Raw genomic sequence first — 24864 nt, 5'->3', positions numbered from 1 at the left:
AATGTTTGCCCATGTGGTACACAATGAAAGTCATCACATGAAGAGCTTTTTACCCAATTAAAGAGAAAATAAGTCGTTCCTCTTTAATTTACTTTTTTGGGGGAAAAGATACTCATTAAACTTTACTCTTTGTACTATGAGCCATTATTTGTCAGAAAGTTTACAAGTTTCATTTTTCTGCTAGCCTTTTGCTGACCAAACCAATCATTTGCAGTAGCAGCCATCAATATAAAGGTTGAAATGGGCTCCTTTCCATGTAAGCATTTAACTTTAAAGGCTGAATTGGACTGGCTATGCAGGAGACCTTGGCACTTGGTGTTATCGCATTCAGTTAAGCAAAAAAAAAAAAAAAAAAAAAAAGAAAGCCAAAAAGCTGTGATTCTATGTTACTTCAATGTAGACATTGTCCATTCTTTTTGAAACAAAGTTTTTGTACCTCTTCTGCCCCTGACAAGAACTACTTATTTGCAAATCCGTGCCAGGATTGTATAATAAACAACCATAGGAGTCTGTCTCTGAATTCCTCCAGATTAGCCCATATACATCCATTCTATACTTCCTTTGCCATCTACATTCTCTATAGAAAACAAGTTATCTTTTAGAAAATATAGATCAGATATCACCAATTGCTTTAAAGACTGTAACGATTTCTTATTAAAATTAGAATGAAACACAAAATCTTTATATGGCATACAAGGCCCTAAACAATGTACCCCTGCTTATTTCTTCAGCCTCATCTTCTACTAATCTTCTTGACATTCATGCAGTGGGCTGTAGCCACAGTAGCTGCCACTTGAACTCACTGAGCATTTTCCACCTCAAAGTACTTGGTTTTTTGTTACTTTTACCTAATAGACACTTTCAAATCTTTGGTTTGTTGGCTCCGTCTTATCACTGAGGGCTTGATTCAAATGTTACTTTTTAAAGGCATGTTTTCAAATCTACACTAGACATCATTTTTAATGGTGACAACTTGGATTCTTTCCCCCTGTGACTGGGAATGGCCCTAGTTTGTTCCCTATGATGACTTCTATTCAGCATGGCACTGCAGGTACCAACCCATTAAATGAAACAAAACAAAAGTCATTCCTTTTGTTGTCACTTATCAGCACTGAAATGGATGATAATAATATAATATTACTCATGGACTATGCAATTCTAGGCAGGAAAAATCTAAAACAATGTAAGGATGTATTACTGAAATAAAAAGGAATTTTCCAGCAACACTAATATACATGGCCAATATGTAATAGTCAAGTGCACTTCCAACTTCAGGTGAAATAAATAGACGTCTCCCAATCCTTGATTTTAGCCCAGTGAGACTGATTTTAGACTTCTGACCACAAGAATTGTAAAAAAATAAATTGGTGTTGTTTTAATCCAAAGATTTGGTGGTACTTTTTTGTGACAGAAACAATAGAAAGCTAATACAGCCACCTGAAATATTTTGTTTAAAAAGTTACTTTTTCAGAAAGGACTCCTCTGCATTCCTCATCTAAACCCAAATTGTCTTATTAACTTGTTTAATTTTCTTTATTGCATATATTGTTATTTCCCTATCTCTGTTCTTTCTGTTTTCGTTGATTTCTTTATTGGTTTCCCCAGTCCCCATAAGAATATACAGTCCTTAAGGGCAAAAACTGATTAGTGTTGAATGCATGAATTGTCTCATCCTGTGAATTTTTTACAATTCTTGATGTCCATTTGATTTTATATCTCATACCATTATTACTCCTTCAGGTGCCTTTCTTGGAAGCCCAGTTTGGTCTTGTTTTCTGTGTATCTGACTTTGACATCTCTTTAGTTCATAAGCTCAGCACAGTATATCCCAGTCAAGGATAAGTGTATCCTTGGGGGATGCTTTAGCGGCCTGGAAACCTGAACAGAAGGGTGCAATTCCTGCATAATTTCCACCCAAATGGACAGGGAGAATCAATCTCTTTGTAATTATTTTCAATTGATCAAAAACAGTAAACTAGGTCATATCGAGGTCAATTTGTTCCCTAAGTGGGAAATATGTAGTTTAGAAAAGCTCTACTGGAACCAGTTGATAATAGCTTGCAAGAGCCAATTGTTAAGTATTTAGGAATATGGTGAGTCATTTGTTAAACTTACATGATAGAAGTATTTATACCACAAATTTGGGAGCTGCAACAACTAAGAGCCTTTTCTCCCACCAAATTGTAGGTTATCAGCCCAACACAAAATATATTTTCCATTCAATGACTATTTTCCAGTGATTTTGCATTGATCTGAAGGTGAATTTACTCTTTACCTTGTGAAGAAGGTGATAGGACTTCTATTTTGTTGAGAACATGTACACACCCTAAAATTTGACCTGTTACCTTCCCAAAGTTCAGAACATTCATGATTCATACTTGAAAACATCTAAACATTCTTATACAGGTAAAGTACGGAAGGAGGGGAAGCAAAGTTTAGCTTTTCTGTTAGTCATACAGAACTGCTGTTTGATGCTGTAAGAACCCTGCATTGAAATGAAGGATTGGAGCAGGGCAATAATCATGTAAGTTCAGGAGGCATACAACTTTAGCTATCAAGTCTTCTTGCTTAAAAAAATAGGATCAGCAGTGCTCTGTTAATCTCCCATAATAACTAACCTCTTGGCATTTTAATAAATCTGAGCTTATGGTTTACTCAGGTAGAAAATGTCTTTGTTCATTCAGTGTTCATATACAGTGGTAACAGCAGTGTTCAGGGATTGTCATAGTGCAAAACTACCATGGGAAGAGCTGAAGTTTCACACATCTGCTAAGAGAGACAGCTATGAGCTTCAGGGGAGTCTTAAAGCCCAGTGTTCCCGGGGTAAATAATGAATCAAGGCCAGCTGGCATGCCATTTTCAGCGTTTCTCCTTTTCTCAAAACTAGAGCCTCATGAATTCCAATTGCAAGTAAGGACAGCAATAGTCTCAGAATATCCATTCCTCATTTTCTGTATGAGGCATTGAAAAAGCTTTAGACCAGCACACGGGCTCCAGACCAGTTGCAACTGTAACATAGCATGTCAGTGCAAATGTTTGGGGATCTAACTACTATTGAGTCTACAATCTGAGAAAGTACCCAGCTAGACAGCAGCTTCAGAAGTTGGTTGTTGCTTTTGCCAACTTGCCTCTCACCAATGACTCTAACCACTGATTTTTATAGAGGGATGTAACTTATTTCACCCAAGAAGATATATGCTAGCAAAGATCAAAGCCTAAAGCACAGTGATTCTGGTAATGAGTAATTGGCTCTGAGTAGTAATTACTACTCCAAGTGTGGAGATTTGTCCTCCCCACTCAAACATACAATCCACATGTAAGGGACCTGTGATAGCTCATTTGCTTACCCTTGTGCTCATTGCACCTCACAATCCTTATAACATACTAGGTAACCCAAAAACTCAGCTGCATACATGAACAAATGAATTTCTCAAAAAGAGAAGGGAGACTGTCATTTCCTTTGGCACTGACTCAGATATAAAAGTGAAAGTTAATCTTATTGGGGTCATTAGGATGTGAAGATGCATCTGATTGTTAACCTAGAAGTTTCTTCCTTCTAATGTAGGGAGATAAACTGAAATGTGCTCACCTTCTTGCACTGCAGCCTGGGCAATCATGGACCTGTCTTCCACCCTGCAGTAATCTTTGCTCACAAAGGTAGGAGATTTCCAGAGGACCCATGATGAACTGAAAATAGGAAGAAACGACTATTGAATTAAAAGTATGGGAAAAATGGTATAACCTCCTCAGCCCCAGTAGGAGTTAGGGCCTTAGTACTACTCAGGGAAGACTCAATTTTAACAACTATAACCTGCAAATTAGTTTTTCACTGGCTTAGGCCACAGAATCCAGCACAGGTGAAGAAAATGGAGCTGCTTTTGGTTCTGCCTCTGTCATTCACTAAGCCATGCAAAATTAGTTACTCATATAATTTATTGGATTATCACTTGGCTCATCTTGAGATCCCAATATTTGTTAAAGAGATTAAAAAGGAAAAATATTTGAAAATAACTAATTTATAAATTTTAAGATTAATTTATTTGTACAACAATTACTTATGGAGTATAAAATTGCATATATTTGAGTTCTTTGTAGAAAATTTACAAGAAAAAAACAAACAACCCCATAAAAAAGTGGGCAAAGAATATGAACAGACACTTCTCAAAAGAAGACATTTATGCAGCCAACAGACACATGAAAAAATGCTCATCATCACTGGCCATCAGAGAAATGCAAATCAAAACCATAATGAGATACCATCTCACACAAGTTAGAATGGCAATCATTAAAAAGTCGGGAAACAACAGGTGCTGGAGAGGATGTGGAGAAATAGGAATGCTTTTACACTGTTGGTGGGACTGTAAACTAGTTCAACCATTGTGGAAGACAGTGTGGCGATTCCTCAAGGATCTAGAACTAGAAATACCATTTGACCCAGCCATCCCATTACTGGGTATGTACACAAAGGATTATAAATCATGCTGTTATAAAGACACATGCACACATATGTTTATTGCAGCACTATTCGCAATAGCAAAGACTTAGAACCAACCCAAATGTCCATCAATGATAGACTAGATTAAGGAAATGTGGCACATGTACACCATGGAATACTATGCAGCCATAAAAAGGATGCATTCATGTCCTTTGTAGGGACATGGATGAAGCTGGAAACCATCATTCTAAGCAAACTATCACAAGGACAAAAAACCAAACACTGCATGTTCTCACTCATAGGTGGGAATTGAACAATGAGAACACTTGGACACAGGAAGGGGAACATCACACACCAGGGCCTGTTGTGGGGTCGGGGGAGTGGGGAGGGATAGCATTAGGAGATACACCTAATGTAAATGACGAGTTAATGGGTGCAGCACACCAACATGGCACATGTATACATATGTAACAAACCTGCACGTTGTGCACATGTACCCTAGAACTTAAAGTATAATAATTTAAAAAATTGCATATATTTGCAAATGATATTGCCACACATAATTGTATTGTACTCATGCATATTTTGTGATGTTGTAGCAATGCTATTATTACTATTGTTACTGCGAAGTATAATGGAACATCATAACATTCTCACCTCTAGGTAGACAGAGTTACTTTCCCATCTGAGGCTAATTATATTATCTACAACTTATAGCTGGCCTTAGCCTGGGTAGTAGGAGATGGAAGGAGTTAAAAAGTAAAAAGTAATGAGGGGAAATGTTTTTTTACTTTTCTTATCAGATTTATTGTCCTTTTGTATCTCAGTGCTATTGAAATCACTAGAAATGATAGAAATACCACAATTGAAGAGAGACATTTATCTATCAACGTAAATGTCATTCAACAATTCAGGCTTTCCATTTTGGGCCTAAAAGGCAGTAAAATTATCCACACACTGGGGAGTTGAGAGAATCTATTTTAATTGTGTCTCTAACAGTTCTAAAAGAAAATTAAGTAGAAAATGGTGATCAGAGCATACAAAATCCTATGCCAGATTGTGCCACAAATCCCCTTGGCTTTTCTCTAACGTAAAGCAATCACTTTCTACTCTGCATGTGCTTGATCACTTAATTACTTGTGCTTCAATTGAATGTAAAAAATGTAATGCATAATATCATCAAGAACACGTAAGAATTTTCTTTTCTTTGTTGTTGTTGTTGTTGTTTGTTTTTTTTTTTTATTATACTTTAAGTTTTAGGGTACATGTGCACATTGTGCAGGTTAGTTACATATGTATACATGTGCCATGCTGGTGTGCTGCACCCACTAACTCGTCATTTACATTAGGTATATCTCCCAATGCTATCCCTCCCCCCTCCCCCCACCCCACAACAGTCCCCAGAGTGTGATATTCCCCTTCCTGTGTCCATGTGATCTCATTGTTCAATTCCCACCTATGAGTGAGAATATGCAGTGTTTGGTTTTTTGTTCTTGCGATAGTTTACTGAGAATGATGATTTCCAATTTCATCCATGTCCCTACAAAGGACATGAACTCATCATTTTTTATGGCTGCATAGTATTCCATGGTGTATATGTGCCACATTTTCTTAATCCAGTCTATCATTGTTGGACATTTGGGTTGGTTCCAAGTCTTTGCTATTGTGAATAATGCCGCAATAAACATACGTGTGCATGTGTCTTTATAGCAGCATGATTTACAGTCATTTGGGTATATACCCAGTAATGGGATGGCTGGGTCAAATGGTATTTCTAGTTCTAGATCCCTGAGGAATCGCCACACTGACTTCCACAATGGTTGAACTAGTTTACAGTCCCTCCAACAGTGTAAAAGTGTTCCTATTTCTCCACATCCTCTCCAGCACCTGTTGTTTCCTGACTTTTTAATGATTGCCATTCTAACTGGTGTGAGATGGTATCTCATAGTGGTTTTGATTTGCATTTCTCTGATGGCCAGTGATGATGAGCATTTTCACAAGTCCCCCACTGCCTTCTTATCTGAAAACTGGACCCTGCTCTCTTATTTTTTTGTTTATTTATTTTTAGTGTCTTTGTTTTGTTTTGCTTATACCTAAAATAAAAATTTTTTAAAAACTTGCATAAATTTAGGAGTACAAGCGGAATTTTGTTACATGGATACATTGCATAGCAGCAAAGTCTGGGCTTTTAGTGTAACCATCACTCAAATAATGTACATTGAACCTAGAGTGTAATTTCTCATCTCTTACTCCTTCCCAATCTCCCACACTTCTGAGTCTACAAGGTCTGTTATTCCCCACTCTGCGTCCATGTGCACACATTATTTAGCTCCCGTTTATAAGCGAGAACATGTGGTATTTGACTTACTATTTCTGAGTAATTTCACTTAATGGCCTCCAGTTCCATCTATGTTGCTGCAAAAGACATGACTTTATTCTTTTTTACAGCTGGGTGGTATTCCATGGAATATACATATATTATATGTATGTGTATATATGTATATACATATATTATATGTATGTGTATATATGTATATACATATATTATATGTATGTGTATATATGTATATACATATATTATATGTATGTGTATATATGTATATACATATATTATATGTATGTGTATATATATACATATATTATATGTATGTGTATATATGTATATGCATATATTATATGTATGTGTATATATGTATATGCATATGTTATATGTATGTGTATATATGTATATGCATGTTATATGTATGTGTATATATGTATATGCATATGTTATATGTATGTGTATATATGTATATGCATATGTTATATGTATGTGTATATATGTATATGCATATATTATATGTATGTGTATATATGTATATGCATATATGTATGTGTATGTGTATATATGTATATACATATGTGTATGTGTATATATGTATATACATATGTGTATGTGTATATATGTATATACATATGTGTATGTGTATATATGTATATACATATGTGTATGTGTATATATGTATATACATATGTGTATGTGTGTATATGTATATACATATGTGTATGTGTGTATATGTATATACATATGTGTATGTGTGTAGATGTATATACATATGTGTATGTGTGTAGATGTATATACATATATTATATGTATGTGTGTAGATGTATATACATATATTATATGTATGTGTGTAGATGTATATACATATATTATATGTATGTGTGTAGATGTATATACATATATTATATGTATGTGTGTAGATGTATATACATATATTATATGTATGTGTGTAGATGTATATACATATATTATATGTATGTGTGTAGATGTATATACATATATTTTATGTATGTGTGTAGATGTATATACATATATTTTATGTATGTGTGTAGATGTATATACATATATTATATGTATGTGTGTAGATGTATATACATATATTATATGTATGTGTGTAGATGTATATACATATATTATATGTATGTGTGTAGATGTATATACATATATTATATGTATGTGTGTAGATGTATATACACATATTAGATGTATGTGTGTAGATGTATATACATATATTATATGTATGTGTGTAGATGTATATACGTATATTATATGCATGTATATACGTATATTATATGCATGTATATACGTATATTATATGCATGTATATACGTATATTATATGCATGTATATACGTATATTATATGCATGTATAATATACGTATATACGTATATATGTATGTATATACGTATATACGTATATTATATGTATGTATATATGCATATACCTATATTATGTATATACGTATATACCTATATTATGTATATACGTATATTATGTGTATATATGAAAGATTTTTTTTATGCAGTCATCCACTGATAAACACTGAGGTTGATTTCCATATCTTTGCTATTGTGAATAGTACTACAATAAACAAATGAGTTCAGTTATATTTTTGATATAATGATCTCTTTTCCTTTCAGGTAGATACCCAGTAGTGGGATCTCTTGAACTACCAGTAGTGGTAGTTCTTTGAGAAATCTTCATGCTGTTTTCCATAGTGTTGTACTAATTTATATTCTCATCAAGAATATATATGTTCCGTTTTCTCTACGTCTTTGCCAACATCTGTTATTTTTTGACGTTTTATTAATAGCCATTCTGACTGGTGTAAGATATCACATTGTGGATTTAATTTGCATTTCTCTCATGATTAGTGATGTTGAGCATTTTGTCATATGCTTCTTGGCCATTTGTATGTTTTCATTTGAAAAATGTCTGTTCTTGTCCTTTGCCCAGTTTTTAATGGGGTTTTCACTGTTATTGTTGTTGAGTTGTTTCAGCTTCTTATAGATTCTGGATATTAGTTCCTTGTCAGATGCATAGTTTCCAAATATTTTCTTCCATTCTGCAGGTTGTCTGTTTGCTCTGTTGATAATTTCTTTTGCTGTGCAGAAATTTTCTAGTTTAATTAAGTCCCATTTGTCTACTTTGTTTTTATTGCATTTGCTTTTGAGGTCTTAGTCATGAATTCTTTGCTTTTTTGGGACATGAACCATGGCTTATTTTCAAGCCTAGAAGTATAACAAATATGTTTTTAAAAAAACATTTGGATGACTTCTATGGACTTAGGTGTCTGCCTTTCAGTCATGCCTTATTTCTTTAGAATAAAACAACAGACAAATAATTCTTAAACTGGTCTGCCATAATTTTACACCAAAGAGTTGCTCATTGGTTGTCTAAGGAAAATAGAATATGTATCTCAATAGTTGATCATTAGCATATGCTGGCAAAGGTGAACTAATAAATTTCCGTGTTTCAAGGGCTATCTTAGAAGAAAGCACATCTGTATTCTTCAGGTATGTTTTATATACTTTGAAATACACAGACATGTTTACCTTGGGGCTGCTTTTATTTATCGTGTCAATAACCAGCTTTTCAGAAAGCCCTAACCTCTTGATAATTGTTCTTAGGACCAGAAATAATTCCATGTAGGTCAGAAGTTAATCTCTCTCTCTCTCTCTCTCTGTGTCTCTCTCTCTCCCCCACTCCAAAAACAAAAAACAAACAAACAAAAAAGCACCACACCCTGTTTTGGGTACCTGCAGTATAACCTCAAAGACATTTTAACCCAAGAGTACTCTTCAAAATGGGCTTAACATACACAAATTAGTAAATTAAAGAGATGAGCTTAGAATAACATTCTTACTTCCTGTGTGAGTTCCACCTGTCTCAAAAGAAATATCATTAGAAGATATGGACTCAGGCTGAAGGACAAGGTCTTTTAAGAGAGTCGGAAATCTGTATGAAATAGTCTTTAGTCGATATAATATTTTCTCTTCCCTATTCTCCACCTCATTTTTTCTTCTCACCACACCATTGATTTTAGTTCTTGTGAAAAGTAAACAAAAAATATAAGGAATGACAGGAATTCAATCCATAATTGAGGCTCTGGATTTATTAGAGGGTGGAGATCAGCCACCTGTCACATCCTGGTTTCAGAGCAGCCTAGAAATTGATTCCTCTGTAGCATGTTAGAGAGACACAATATTTTGAGCCAAAGTTTATTTAAAATTCTTTACTTTGCATTTCTTGCTTGTTTTCTGGTTTATTTTATACTTTTTTACTATATACACCTTCTGCTTTCTCTCCACTGATCCTTTATCTCTCTATCACTCCTTATTCTTCTCTTACTCCTATCCACATTTTCTATATACACAGTGACCTGTTCAATTATTAACAGGACCTACCAAGTTAAAAAGCAGCAGGAAGAATAATCAAAGTTCAAGCAATCCATACATGGCACATCTCAGATTTTACTCTAGGAATCCTTAAATGCTGCACAATTTTTTTAAAAAGATTATCTGTAAAAATTAGGATTCTTAATAAAGTCACTTGAAGATCTAAGGAATTCATGAACACCATGTGTATGTTCTATATGCACATTTTATTTACCTTTAAAATTTGATATATACATCAAAAATAAAAATGATTACCCAAAGCTTAACAAATGAATACAACCAACATTGAAAGGAGAAACATTAATAGGTGAGTATACAGAAATATTTAACATGAGCCTTGGCAACATATTAAGACCCCATCTTTGCCAAAAAAAAAAAAAAAAATTAACCGCGTATGATGGCATCTGCCTGTAGTCTCAGCTACTTTGGACACTGAGCCAGGAGGATTACTTGAGCCCAAAAGCTCAAGGGTGCAGTGAGCTGTCATCACGCCACTGCACTCTAGCCTGGGTGACAGATCAAGACCCCATCTCTCTATATAAATATATATTACATATATTCATATAATATACTTACATATAATATGGCCTTATATATTATACAAAACATGGCATACATATAAATTTTATACATATATATATGGAATATATATAAAGCAGGCCATGTTATATATCATGGAACTGATGGAACAATTTCATCAGTCTCACTTTATAAGAATCTAAGCACACAAACCATCCTAATCGATACTGTGAACACAGCCATCTTTAAATCAATATCATTTTAAAATGTTTATTTCTTTATTTTACTAAAGTGTAGGAATAATTCATAACTCTGGAGTTTTGGGGTATTCCTCCTCATTTTCTTGTCACTTGAAATAGAGGAGGCAATCTTGTTTCCTTCTATTATGTTTTAATTTACAACGGTTTTTTCGTTAGGCTTATTGATGTGGCCTAATCTCTGACCCCAAGGGATCATGGTGACATGACTACAGCTTTTTCTTTCTGAATCTGGGAATTTTTCAACACTAAAGGGAACTGTGTTGTTCTGCAACAATGAGAAAAATCAATATAGGATAAAGTGTCATATTACAATGTTAATTTAATATATAACATTTAGTAGCCTCGAAAACTTGTTGCTGAGATTAACGTGGCAAGATTAGTTATTAAGTCATGAGAGTTGTTGAACATATGTATACAAGCAAAGCCTTAGGGGAAGGTCAGACTATTTCGGAAGTTTCAATAAATGATCTCTTCCTTGTCTAGTCATGACTGCAGTTTAAAAAAAAAAAAACAATTTATCACAATCATCAAGTAACATGTGCAGTAAGAAAATGTGACTCTGATGTCCTCTCTTTGTAAAGGACTATTGCGTATGGGCTCCACTGGCATACGTTCTTCAGTATTCAGTGCTGAGGGCTTCTTTACTTCTCTGTCTTAAAATGGAGCCACCATCATTTCCAGCTCCTAGCTAAATCCATTATTTCCTTTTTTCTACTGTATCGACTCCCAGCAAGTAAGCAGAGACTCTTAGAAAAGTGTGTAATCTACTCAAAGAATAACACATTTGGAATAGAAGGTCATCTTACTGGATCATACATGGGTCACTAAAGCCACTAAAAGTAGGGTGCAGACCTGACTGAGTCTGTAAAGAATATCTAATTCTTCGCAGCAATCTAATGTCCACTTGTTCAGATCAGTAGCTTCCCCGTGACCTCTTTGCCTGAACTGTCAGATGCTGCTTTAAATGACTAACTCCCTCTGAAGGCTTTGAGAATGCTGTCTTTCTTCTATGCTTAAAAAAGAAGAAAAACAATAACAAAAAATCTTTGTCATATGGCTTTGAAATATCACCCACCTCACCTATACTCTGATTTATTTCTAGGGTCTGTGTCTTCTCCGCTTTGTCGACCTCAAATATAGCCCTATGGTTAAGTCTGTGGTCTTTGATGAATAATGATTATGGAAAATTGCTAGAATTCACCCTTATGCTGAACCTTAGACTAGCAAAGTCGAATTTTCACTTCTAACTATTATAGTTCCCCCTGGTACAATTTTGCTCTCGAGATTCTCTAAACTTTAGAAGGTCATCCTAAGGCCAAGCCACTACATGATTACACAAAGTGGAACAATAATCAACTATTTGCTCTAACCTCTTCACTGAATTACTCCTTTTATCTTCAAATCCTATCAGATTGAGAGCTTACAAATCCTCCCTGGACTTGTAGACTAAACTTTTTTGATCAACTCCTCCGTTCCCAAGATTTTTTTCCATTTTCTTTTCTGAGAAAACCCTTCACTTAGTAAAACTTCCAGCTTTGTTACACCTCCTTTTTTAAAAACAGAAATAAATATTATAGCATACTTTCCCAAGGCTCCCTTCTTCCTTTGTATAGATCCTACTTCTATGTTCACCCACCTGTCTTTGTCCTTTAGCAATTGATAAGTCATGTTATTCTCATCTTTACTTAAAATCACTAGTCAGCACTTGCCTAGTTTATTTCAGTTTATTTTCTTAGAGTCCCTTTCTATCTTTGTTACACAATTATAATTGTTCTTCTGCTTCTAATGTAGAATCCAGTGTCCCAAAATTTTATTTTATATGAATATTGACCCAAAATCTCCAGATCACCTTTTCTGAAGGTGAGAATTTCCCCTTCATCAAGAAATGAAAACATTATTTTTTTCTCTTTTTTTGTCTTTTTCTTATTCCATTGTCAGTAACTCCTCTGTCACTTGTAATAAGAACTTGCAGCAATATCATGACATTTTTTTTAACACCATCTTTTCTTGTTCCCTTCTCCATGCTTCCTCCCTTCATAAACATACTCAGGCTCAAGCACACATGCACAAGTCTATAGACAAGATGTCATACATTTTGTTTATTTTTATTTTAGTGCCGATTCATGCAAATGAGGAAAAGATCTGGAAGAAGTAAACATGGAAAAGTAGAGCGAGCAATCCTAAGGGCTGGAACTGGGAATTGAGTCTAAAAAGGAACAAATAGAGAGGGAAACTTGACAGAGATGCAACAGAGAAAGACTGGTTACTTGTTTGTAAACAATTTTAAATAATAGAAGCTAAAGTTGTATTTTAAAAAAAAACTACAATATAATTTTTAATGTACTAACATCAATAGACCATCATCACTTGGTCTTCTCCTGTGAGAAAGCTGATGCACAAGTTTCCCATTTCCCAACATAGGCAATTTTTAAAGATTGATCATATATCTGCTTTCACTCACACACACACACACACACACAGACACACACACAAATCTTTTCTTTTTCTTTTCTTTTCTTTTTCTTTTCTTTTCTTTTTCTTTTTTTTTTTTTTTTGAGACGGAGTTTCGCTTTTCTTGCCCAGCTGGAGTGCAATGGCGTGCGATTCTCCGCCTCCCGGGTTCAAGAGATTCTCCTGCCTCAGCCTCCAGAGTAGCTGGGATTACAGGAATGCTTCATCACGCCCGGCTAATTTTGTATTTTTAGTAGAGGTGAGGTTTCTCCATGTTGGTCAGGCTGGTCTCAAACTCCTGACCTCAGGTGATCCACCTGCCTCGGCCTCCCAAAGTGCTGGCATTATAGGCGTGAGCCACTGCGCCTGGCCCACAGAAAATAGGAACTAGAAAATAGCAATGCATTTCACTATCACACTTTTATGTATTTTAATCGTTCAAGCGTCTTTACTTTGTATTACCTTCTACTTATTAAAATCATTTACTGGAAAACCTCTTTCTTTTTCACACTAGGAGTCTATTTTCCTTGAAGCTAAACAAATGTGCTTAATTCACTTGAATACCATCAAATGGGGATCTCCTAAATACTGGAGCTAGGGAAAACTTAAAGAAAAAAATGGATTACTATTTTGTGTATTGTTACTATCGTAATTGCCATCCAAATTGTAAAAAAAATTCAGCATCTAAAGAAATTTCTTCATTTACTTTACCTTATATTAATCTTTTATTCATTTTTAAGCCTTTCTATCAACCTGCATCTTCATATCTATTATTTCTTTCCAGCCTGTGATTCTTCATTTTTCCTCTGACCAGTTTGTCTTCCTTTTCTCAATCCTATCATTCTGTATTCTTAAATTTTCGCAAGTCCCAGTGCCTGAGATAGAATCTGTTATGTTGTTAAAGCAAAAAAAAAAAAAATCAGTATCATTGTTAAAGAAAATCCCACTAACACAATGTTACCGGTTTGACATTTTTAATCTGTTGGATACTCCCTGAAATTAGCATTCAGGGTACTGTGTAATTTAGTAATTTCTTTTTCTTTCTTCTGTCTTCTATTTTTTTGATGTGATCATATTTAAAGTTACAAACATGTAGCACTAAAAGACCTGATAAATGTAAATACTGTTGAATTAAAAGATGATATATGCTATTTATAGTGAGAATATGGAATATGCCAAAAAAAGTAATGGCAAGAAATGAAAGTTTCAAAGGCAAAGCAATATCAAATTAGAAAAGGATTTTTTTGGCATAAGGTAATTCATTCGTACATGACAAATTATGCTATTTATTGAGATTGGCTTCCATTTCATCTTTGACTTAATTCTGCATCCAAGAAATTTAGCATCTCCAGCCCCAGTCCTCTAACATAATTGCTAGTGTAAATCACCAAGAAATAAAACACAGTTTCTTGAAGAAAATCTACCACAAATATAAAGCTATGTGTTGTAATTGACAAGAAGAGATAAAGAAAAGCCGTATTTTCCTATTGAATTGCATTGCTGTACTGAAGATATTTTGACTGTGCCTAGTTAAATCAGGAGTAGCAGAAGACTAAAAACCTAAGATGTTATCTCATATTATTACTCTTGATTCTCTGATGGGAAAAGAGAACTTCAAAGGTAATGTTTCCTAGGGATGCAAACACTTCTCTAAAGTCTGTTAGTTAATGTGAAAGCAAATATATATATACACCGTCACGCGCCACATAATGTTTCCATCAGTAATGAACTGCATATATGATGATGCTCCCATAACATAATGGAGCTAACAGATTTCTGTTGTCTAGCGATATCTTGATGATCCTGACCCTGTGCAGGCCTATGCTTATGTATGTGTGTCTTAGTTACAGCAAACCAATTTAGAAAGTGAAAAGTAATAAAAATTTAAAAAATAAAAATACAAAAAGGTTTATAGAATAAGAAAATATTTTTGTACAGCTGTTCAATGTGTCTGTGTTTTAAGCTTCATTTCAAATGAATCCATAAGTTAAAAAATTAAGTTTATAAATTAGAAAAGTTACAGTAAGCTATTTATTTATTGTGGAAGAGAAAATATTTTAAAAATAAATTTAGTGTAGCCTAAGTTTACAGTGTTTATAAATAAGTTTACAGTAATATACAGTAATATCCTAGGCCTTCCCATTCACACTCACCGACTCACCTAGAGGAACTTTAGATCTGCAGTCTCTGTTCCTGGTAAGTACCCTATACAGGTGTATCATTTTTTATTTTTTCAATCATATTACTACAACTTTTCTATGTGTAGATACACAAATACTTACAATTATGTTACAATTGCCTACAGTATTTAATGCGGTAACATACCATTACAATAGACAGTTGGAAAAGCCTAGCTGCAATAGACAATATTACTGTATAGCCTGGGTGTCTAGTAGACTATACCACATAGGTTTGTGTAAGTACACTCTATGGTGTTCACACAGTGGTGAAATCACCTAACGATATATTTCTCAGAACATATCCATGTTGTTAACCAACACATTGGTATACACACAAACACACACAACATACACACACACAAGCACATATACAGTCATGTTGGAAGATTTGTATAGTGAACTCTTACATTCACACAATCTAGGTTCTATATTAACATTTTACTAAACTCATGTTATTACATACGTATTCATATATCATCTCCCTTGTCCATACGATGTAAATTGCAGGCATTAATTTCCCCTAAATATTTCAGTATGCACATCAATAATAAAAGTTCAGTACTTGAAGAGTTTTTTTAAAAAATAAAATTGCTGGAGGAGCCAAGATGGCCGAATAGGAACAGCTCCGGTCTACAGCTCCCAGAGTGAGCGACGCAGAAAACGGGTGATTTCTGCATTTCCAGCTGAGGTACCGGGTTCATCTCAATAGGGAGTGCCAGACAGTGGGCACAGGTCAGTGGGTGGGCGCACCGTGCGCGAGCCGAAGCAGGGCGAGGCATTGCCTCACTTCGGAAGCGCAAGGGGTCAGGGAGTTCCCTTTCTGAGTCAAAGAAAGGGGTAACGGACAGCACCTGGAAAATCGGGTCACTCCCACACGAATACTGCGCTTTTCCAACGGGCATAAAAAACGGCGCACCACGAGATTATATCCCGCACCTGGCTCGGAGGGTCCTACACCCACGGAGTCTCGCTGATTGCTAGCACAGCAGTCTGAGATCGAACTGCAAGGCTGCAGCGAGGCTGGGGGAGGGGCGCCCGCCATTGCCCAGGCTTGATTAGGTAAACAAAGCAGCCCAGAATCTGGAACTGGGTGGAGCCCACCACAGCTCAAGGAGGCCTGCCTGCCTCTGTAGGCTCCACCTCTGGGGGCAGGGCACAGACAAACAAAAAGACAGCAGTAACCTCTGCAGACTTAAATGTCCCTGTCTGACAGCTTTGAAGACAGCAGTGGTTCTCCCAGCACGCAGCTGGAGATCTGAGAACGGGCAGATTGCCTCCTCAAGTGGGTCCCTGACCCCTGACCCCCGAGCAGCCTAACTGGGAGGCACCCCCCAGCAGGGGCACACTGACACCTCACAAGCGGCAGGGTATTCCAACAGACCTGCAGCTGAGGGTCCTGTCTGTTAGAAGGAAAACTAACAAACAGAAAGGACATCCACACCAAAAACCCACCTGTACATCACCATCATCAAAGACCAAAAGTAGATAAAACCAGAAAGATGGGGAAAAAACAGAACAGAAAAACTGGAAACTCTAAAAAGCAGAGCGCCTCTCCTCCCCCAAAGGAACGCAGTTCCTCACCAGCAACGGAACAAAGCTGGATGGAGAATGACTTTGACGAGCTGAGAGAAGAAGGGTTCAGACAATCAAATTACTCTGAGCTACGGGAGGACATTCAAACCAAAGGCAAAGAAGTTGAAAACTTTGAAAAAAATTTAGAAGAATGTATAACTAGAATAACTAACACAGAGAAGTGCTTAAAGGAGCTGATGGAGCTGAAAACCAAGGCTCGAGAACTACGTGAAGAATGCAGAAGCCTCAGGAGCTGATGTGATCAACTGGAAGAAAGGGTATCAGCGATGGAAGATGAAATGAATGAAATGAAGCGAGAAGGGAAGTTTAGAGAAAAAAGAATAAAAAGAAATGAGCAAAGCCTCCAAGAAACATGGTACTATGTGAAAAGACCAAATCTACGTCTGATTGGTGTACCTGAAAGTGACGGGGAGAATGGAACCAAGTTGGAAAACACTCTGCAGGATATTATCCAGGAGAACTTCCCCAATCTAGCAAGACAGGCCAACGTTCAGATTCAGGAAATACAGAGAACGCCACTAAGATACTCCTCGAGAAGAGCAACTCCAAGACACATAATTGTCAGATTCACCAAAGTTGAAATGAAGAAAAAAATGTTAAGGGCAGCCAGACAGAAAGGTCGGGTTACCCTCAAAGGGAAGCCCATCAGACTAACAGCGGATCTCTCGGCAGAAACCCTACAAGCCAGAAGAGAGTGGGGGCCAATATTCAACATTCTTAAAGAAAAGAATTTTCAACCCAGAATTTCATATCCAGCCAAACTAAGCTTCATAAGTGAAGGAGAAATAAAATACTTTACAGACAAGCAAATGCTGAGAGATTTTGTCACCATCAGGCCTGCCTTACAAGAGCTCCTGAAGGAAGCACTAAACATGGAAAGGAACAACAGGTACCAGCCACTGCAAAATCATGCCAAAATGTAAAGACCATCGAAACTAGGAAGAAACTGCATCAACTAACGAGCAAAATAACCAGCTAACATCATAATGACAGGATCAAATTCACACATAACAATATTGACTTTAAATGTAAATGGACTAAATGCTCCAATTAAAAGACACAGACTGGCAAATTGGATAAAGAGTCAAGACCCATCAGTGTGCTGTATTCAGGAAACCCATCTCACGTGCAGAGACACACATAGGCTCAAAATAAAAGGATGGAGGAAGATCTACCAAGCCAATGGAAAACAAAAAAAGGCAGGGGTTGCAATCCTAGTCTCTGATAAAACAGACTTTAAACCAACAAAGATCAAAAGAGACAAAGAAGGCCATTACATAATGGTAAAGGGATCAATTCAACAAGAAGAGCTAACTATCCTAAATATATATGCACCCATAACAGGAGCACCAAGATTCATAAAGCAAGTCCTGAGTGACCTACAAAGAGACTTAGACTCCCACACATTAATAATGGGAGACTTTAACACCCCACTGTCAACATTAGACAGATCAACGAGACAGAAAGTCAACAAGGATACCCAGGAATTGAACTCAGCTCTGCAACAAGCGGACCTAATAGACATCTACAGAACTCTCCACCCCAAATCAACAGAATATACATTTTTTTCAGCACCACACCACACCTATTCCAAAATTGACCACATACTGGGAAGTAAAGCTCTCCTCAGCAAATGTAAAAGAACACAAATTATAACAAACTATCTCTCAGACCACAGTGCAATCAAACTAGAACTCAGGATTAAGAATCTCACTCAAAACCGCTCAACTACATGGAAACTGAACAACCTGCTCCTGAATGACTACTGGGTACATAATGAAATGAAGGCAGAAATAAAGATATTCTTTGAAACCAACGAGAACAAAGACACAACATACCAGAATCTCTGGGACACATTCAAAGAAGTGTGTAGAGGGAAATTTATAGCACTAAATGCCCACAAGAGAAAGCAGGAAAGATCCAAAATTGACACCCTAACATCACAATTAAAAGAACTAGAAAAGCAAGAGCAAACACATTCAAAAGCTAGCAGAAGGCAAGAAATAACTAAAATCAGAGCAGAACTGAAGGAAATAGAGACACAAAAAACCCTTCAAAAAATTAATGAATCCAGAAGCTGGTTTTTTGAAAGGATCAACAAAATTGATAGACCGCTAGCAAGACTAATAAAGAAAAAAAAGAGATGACTCAAATAGACGCAATAAAAATGATAAAGGGGATATCATCACCGATCCCACAGAAATATAAACTACCATCAGAGAATACTACAAACACCTCTACGCAAATAAACTAGAAAATCGAGAAGAAATGGATAAATTCCTGGACACATACACTCTCCCAAGACTAAACCAGGAAGAAGTTGAATCTCTGAATAGACCAATAACAGGAGCTGAAATTGTGGCAATAATCAATAGCTTACCAACCAAAAAGAGTCCAGGACCGCATGGATTCACAGCCAAATTCTACCAGAGGTACAAGGAGGAACTAGTACCATTCCTTCTGAAACTATTCCAATCAACAGAAAAAGAGGGAATCCTCCCTAACTCATTTTATGAGGCCAGCATCATTCTGATACCAAAGCCTGGCCCAGACACAACAAAAAAAGAGAATTTTAGACCAATATCCTTGATGAACATTGATGCAAAAATCCTCAATAAAACACTGGCAAAACGAATCCAGCAGCACATCAAAAAGCTTATCCACCATGAACAAGTGGGCTTCATCCCTGGGATGCAAGGCTGGTTCAATATACGCAAATCAGTAAATGTAATCCAGCATATAAACAGAGCCAAAGACAAAAACCACATGATTATCTCAATAGATGCAGAAAAAGCCTTTGACAAAATTCAATAACCCTTCATGCTAAAAACTCTCAATAAATTAGGTATTGATGGGACGTATTTCAAAATAATAACAGCTATCTATGACAAACCCACAGCCAATATCATACTGAATGGGCAAAAACTGGAAGCATTCCCTTTGAAAACTGGCACAAGACAGGGATGCCCTCTCTCACCACTCCTATTCAACAAAGTGTTGGAAGTTCTGGCCAGGGCAATGAGGCAGGAGAAGGAAATAAAGGGTATTCAATTAGGAAAAGAGGAAGTCAAATTATCCCTGTTTGCAGATGACATGATTGTTTATCTAGAAAACCCCAGTGTCTCAGCCCAAAATTTCCTTAAGCTGATAAGCAACTTCAGCAAAGTCTCAGGATACAAAATCAATGTACAAAAATCACAAGCATTCTTATACACCAACAACAGACAAACAGAGAGCCAAATCATGAGTGAACTCCCATTCACAATTGCTTCAAAGAGAATAAAATACCTAGGAATCCAACTTACAAGGGATGTGAAGGACCTCTTCAAGGAGAACTACAAACCACTGCTCAAGGAAATAAAAGAGGATACAAACAAATGGAAGAACATTCCATGCTCATGGGTAGGAAGAATCAATATCGTGAAAATGGCCATACTGCCCAAGGTAATTTACAGATTCAATGCCATCCCCATCAAGCTACCAATGACTTTCTTCACAGAACTGGAAAAAACTACTTTAAACTTCATATGGAACCAAAAAAGAGCCCGCACCGCCAAGTCAATCCTAAGCCAAAAGAACAAAGCTGGAGGCATCACACTACCTGACTTCAAACTATACTACAAGGCTACAGTAACCAAAACAGCATGGTACTGGTACCAAAACAGAGATATAGATCAATGGAACAGAACAGAGCCCTCAGAAATAACGCCGCATATCTACAACTATCTGATCTTTGACAAACCTGAGTAAAACAAGCAATGGGGAAAGGATTCCCTATTTAATAAATGGTGCTGGGAAAACTGGCTAGCCATATGTAGAAAGCTGAAACTGGATCCCTTCCTTACACCTTATACAAAAATCAATTCAAGATGGATTAAAGACTTAAACGTTAGACCTAAAACCATAAAAACCCTAGAAGAAAACCTAGGCATTACCATTCAGGACATAGGCATGGGCAAGGACTTCATGTCTAAAACACCAAAAGCAATGGCAATAAAAGCCAAAATTGACAAATGGGGTCTAATTAAACTAAAGAGCTTCTGCACAGCAAAATAAACTACCATCAGAGTGAACAGGCAACCTACAAAATGGGAGAAAATTTTCGCAACCTACTCATCTGACAAAGGGCTAATATCCAGAATCTACAAAGAACTCAAACAAATTTACAAGAAAAAAACAAACAACCCCATCAAAAAGTGGACGAAGGACATGAACAGACACTTCTCAAAAGAAGACATTTATGCAGCCAAAAAACACATGAAAAAATGCTCATCATCACTGGCCATCAGAGAAATGCAAATCAAAACCACAATGAGATACCATCTCACACCAGTTAGAATGGCAATCATTAAAAAGTCAGGAAACAACAGGTGCTGGAGAGGATGTGGAGAAATAGGAACACTTTTACACTGTTGGTGGGACTGTAAACTAGTTCAACCATTGTGGAAGTCAGTGTGGTGATTCCTCAGGGATCTAGAACTGGAAATACCATTTGACCCAGCCATCCCATTACTGGGTATATACCCAAAGGACTGTAAATCATGCTGCTATAAAGACACATGCACACTTATGTTTATTACGGCATTATTCACAATAGCAAAGACTTGGAACCAACCCAAATGTCCAACAATGATAGACTGGATTAAGAAAATGTGGCACATATACACCATGGAATACTATGCAGCCATAAAAAATGATGAGTTCATGTCCTTTGTAGGGACATGGATGAAGCTGGAAACCATCATTCTCAGTAAACTACCGCAAGAACAAAAAACCAAACACCGCATATTCTCACTCATAGGTGGGAATTGAACAATGAGATCACATGGACACAGGAAGGGGAATATCACACTCTGGGGACTGTTGTGGGGTGGGGGGATGCGGGAGGGATAGCATTAGGAGATATATCTAATGCTGGATGAGGAGTTAGTGGGTGCAGCGCACCAGCATGGCACATGTATACCTATGTAACTAACCTGCACAATGTGCACATGTACCCTAAAACTTAAAGTATAATAAAAAATAAATAAATAAATAAAATTATAAAAAAATAAAATTAATATATGAGTTATACAAAGGTAAGTGTGTGTTTACTGAACTTTGATAGATGCATATGCCTATATAATCCCAATTTTTTCACATTATTAAACATTACTATAACCCCAGGAAATTCCTCGGATCCCATCAGAGACATTCTCTGCTGCCACTCATCTTCAAGGCAACAATTCATCTATTCCATTTTACTAATGCCAGAATTTTACATACATGGAGTAAACAGTATATAATCTTTTGAGTAATTTTTTAATATTAATATTGTATCCATAGGTCCTTTATTTTTAGTTCTAAGTATTATTTAGTTATATAAGTATTACACAATGTGTTTATTCTCACATTGATGCATATCTGGCTTTGTTCTAGCTTTGAGGAATTATAAGTACAGTTGATATGAACATTCATGTACAGGTTTTATGTGGAAAGGTTTTTAGTAACAAATTCAATTTCTTTGTAGATATTGGGTTATTCTTATTTTTTGTTTTATCTTTATCAGTTCTAGAAGATTGTATTTTTACAGAAAATTATCCACTTCCTCTAAGTCATTAAAGTTGTTGGCATAAAGTTGTTCATAATATCCCCTTTTTATCATTTTAAATCCACAGATTTTACTGATAGCCTATTTTTCCTCCTGATATTGATAATTTGATATCCTTCTTTTGCTATTGATCCATCTAGTTTTAGTTCATCTTTTTGTGGTAATTAAAAAAAACTTACGGTTTCATTAATTTTCTCAACATTCTGTTTTCTATTCTGTTGATTTTTGCTGTCTTCATTGAATCTTTTTTTCTATTTACATTGAGAGTTTTTGTTGCTCCTCGTCTTTGTCTCCTTCTTTCTTCTCTTTTCCTTGTCATTCTTCTTTTGACTTTTTAAGGTAAAAACAGAGATCATTAATTTGAGAACTTTCTTCTTTTCTAATATAAGCACGTAAACCTGTAAATTTCTCTCTAAGGACGGCTTTAACTGCATCCAGCAGATTTCAATATATTGTATTTTCATTATGATTCAGTTGATAATATTTTCCACTTCCCTTGTGATTTTGTTTTTGAGCCATCAACTATTTAAAAGTGTTATTTGATTTTATGTTACTTGGGGGTTTTCCTGGATATCATAGTTTATTCTTAATTTAATTACATTGAAGTCGGAGAATATATTTTTGTATGACCGTAATTCTGTTCCATTTACTGACTTGCTTTATGGCCCAGAATAAGCTCTATCATGGTGCATTTTTCTAGCAATTTATATAAGTGAAAAAAATACATAATGTGCATTCCTGGGAGTGACTTCTTTGTTCAGCATAATATTTTTGGGAGTCATATATGTTGTTTTGCCCATGTTAATTTGTTTTATTGTTAAGTAGCAGTCCACTATATGAATATACCACAATCTATTTAATCGATTCACTTAGTGATAGACATTTGGGTTGTTTCCAGTTTGTGATAATATGAGTAAAGCCAGTATAAACATTTGCACACAATCATCTTGGTGGATATAGGTTGTTATTTTGGGGGGTAAATTTTTAGAAAAGAAATTAATGACTGGGCCAAATGGTAAGACTCTGTTTACATGAAACAACCGAGGAGTCTCCCAAAGTGTTTATAACATTTTACATCTTTTCCAGTAATTTATGAGATTTGCAGTTATTCATCAACAGCCTCACTAATAGTTTTTAATTTTTGCTACTCCAGTGTCTGTGAAGTATCATCTCATTGTAGTTTTAATTTGCATATCTTTGATGAATAAAATCTTGAAAATATTTGTATGTGCTTATTTTCCATTCATATGTCATCCATTTTTAAGTGTTGATTAAAATATTTTGCCCATTTATTTTAATTGTGTTATTTTATTATTATTATTGAGTTGTATTCTAAATACAAGAACTTTGTCAAATATATGTCTTACAAATATTACCTCCATGTAAGTGGCTTATCATTTAATTTTCTCAAGAATGTCATTTGAAGAGTCAAATATTTTTTATTTTAATGAATCAAATCTACCTTTCCTTTTATGTTTCATGCTTTTTGTATCCTATCTAATAATCTTTGTCCATCTCAATATCATGAAGATATCTTCTAGGATTCCTTCAACAAGTTTTATACTTGTAGATTTGCATTTAGGTCTATGATAACTTTTTATTTTTCTATGTATGGTTTCAACTGAGGTCATGGTTCATATTTTTTCATCAAATATCTAGTTGTTCCAGCAACACTTGTTGATAATACCATTATCCCTCATCACAGGGATAACTTTTGAAAATCAATATGCCATGTATCCACAGGTCTGGACTCTGTCATCACATAAATACTTTATAGTCTTGAACTACAACTTTCATTTAAGTATTGAAATAAGGTAATGTATATCTCCCAAGTGTGTTCTTATTTTTCAGAATTATTTGAGTAATCCTAGGTCCTTTGCATTTCTATTTTGAGCTTTAGAATTAGTCTGCTAATCTCTATCAAAAGAAAAAACAGTATGTTGTAATTTTTATTGAAATTATGGTGAATCTATTAATCAATTTGAGGAGAATGGAAAATGTGATAGATTAAAGATGGTAACAAATTTCTGCTATCCCCACCTAAGAGATAGAATTAATAACCCCTCTCCTTGGGACTGGCATAAACAATAGACTGTGGAAGAAATTATGTGGTA

General features: G+C 35.6%; 1 long non-coding RNA gene across 1 annotated transcript in view, besides 1 other annotated feature; it reads right to left on the bottom strand.

Annotated features, from left to right (window-relative positions):
• LINC00992 (long intergenic non-protein coding RNA 992) overlaps positions 1-24864 on the bottom strand; it is a 164233-nt gene that overhangs the window by 29959 nt on the left and 109410 nt on the right. Inside the window, exon 4 of the long non-coding RNA NR_046089.1 lies at positions 3590-3687. This is a non-coding gene — a long non-coding RNA (long intergenic non-protein coding RNA 992). The remainder of the gene's footprint in view (positions 1-3589; positions 3688-24864) is intronic.
• Positions 16433-16949: an enhancer, noted in NCBI's record as "H3K27ac-H3K4me1 hESC enhancer chr5:116868532-116869048 (GRCh37/hg19 assembly coordinates)". NCBI's record gives its function as "activates a minimal SCP1, AML or CMV promoter by ChIP-STARR-seq in naive and primed H9 embryonic stem cells {active_cell/tissue: H9 hESC(naive and primed)}" and the evidence as "EXISTENCE:reporter gene assay evidence [ECO:0000049][PMID:30033119]".

The sequence above is a fragment of the Homo sapiens genome, chromosome 5, assembly GCF_000001405.40.
Source record: "Homo sapiens chromosome 5, GRCh38.p14 Primary Assembly".
Classification (NCBI taxonomy): Eukaryota; Metazoa; Chordata; class Mammalia; order Primates; family Hominidae; genus Homo; species Homo sapiens.
The sequence above is the reverse complement of the archived record's forward strand: the minus strand, read 5'-3'. Positions and strand labels throughout refer to the sequence as shown.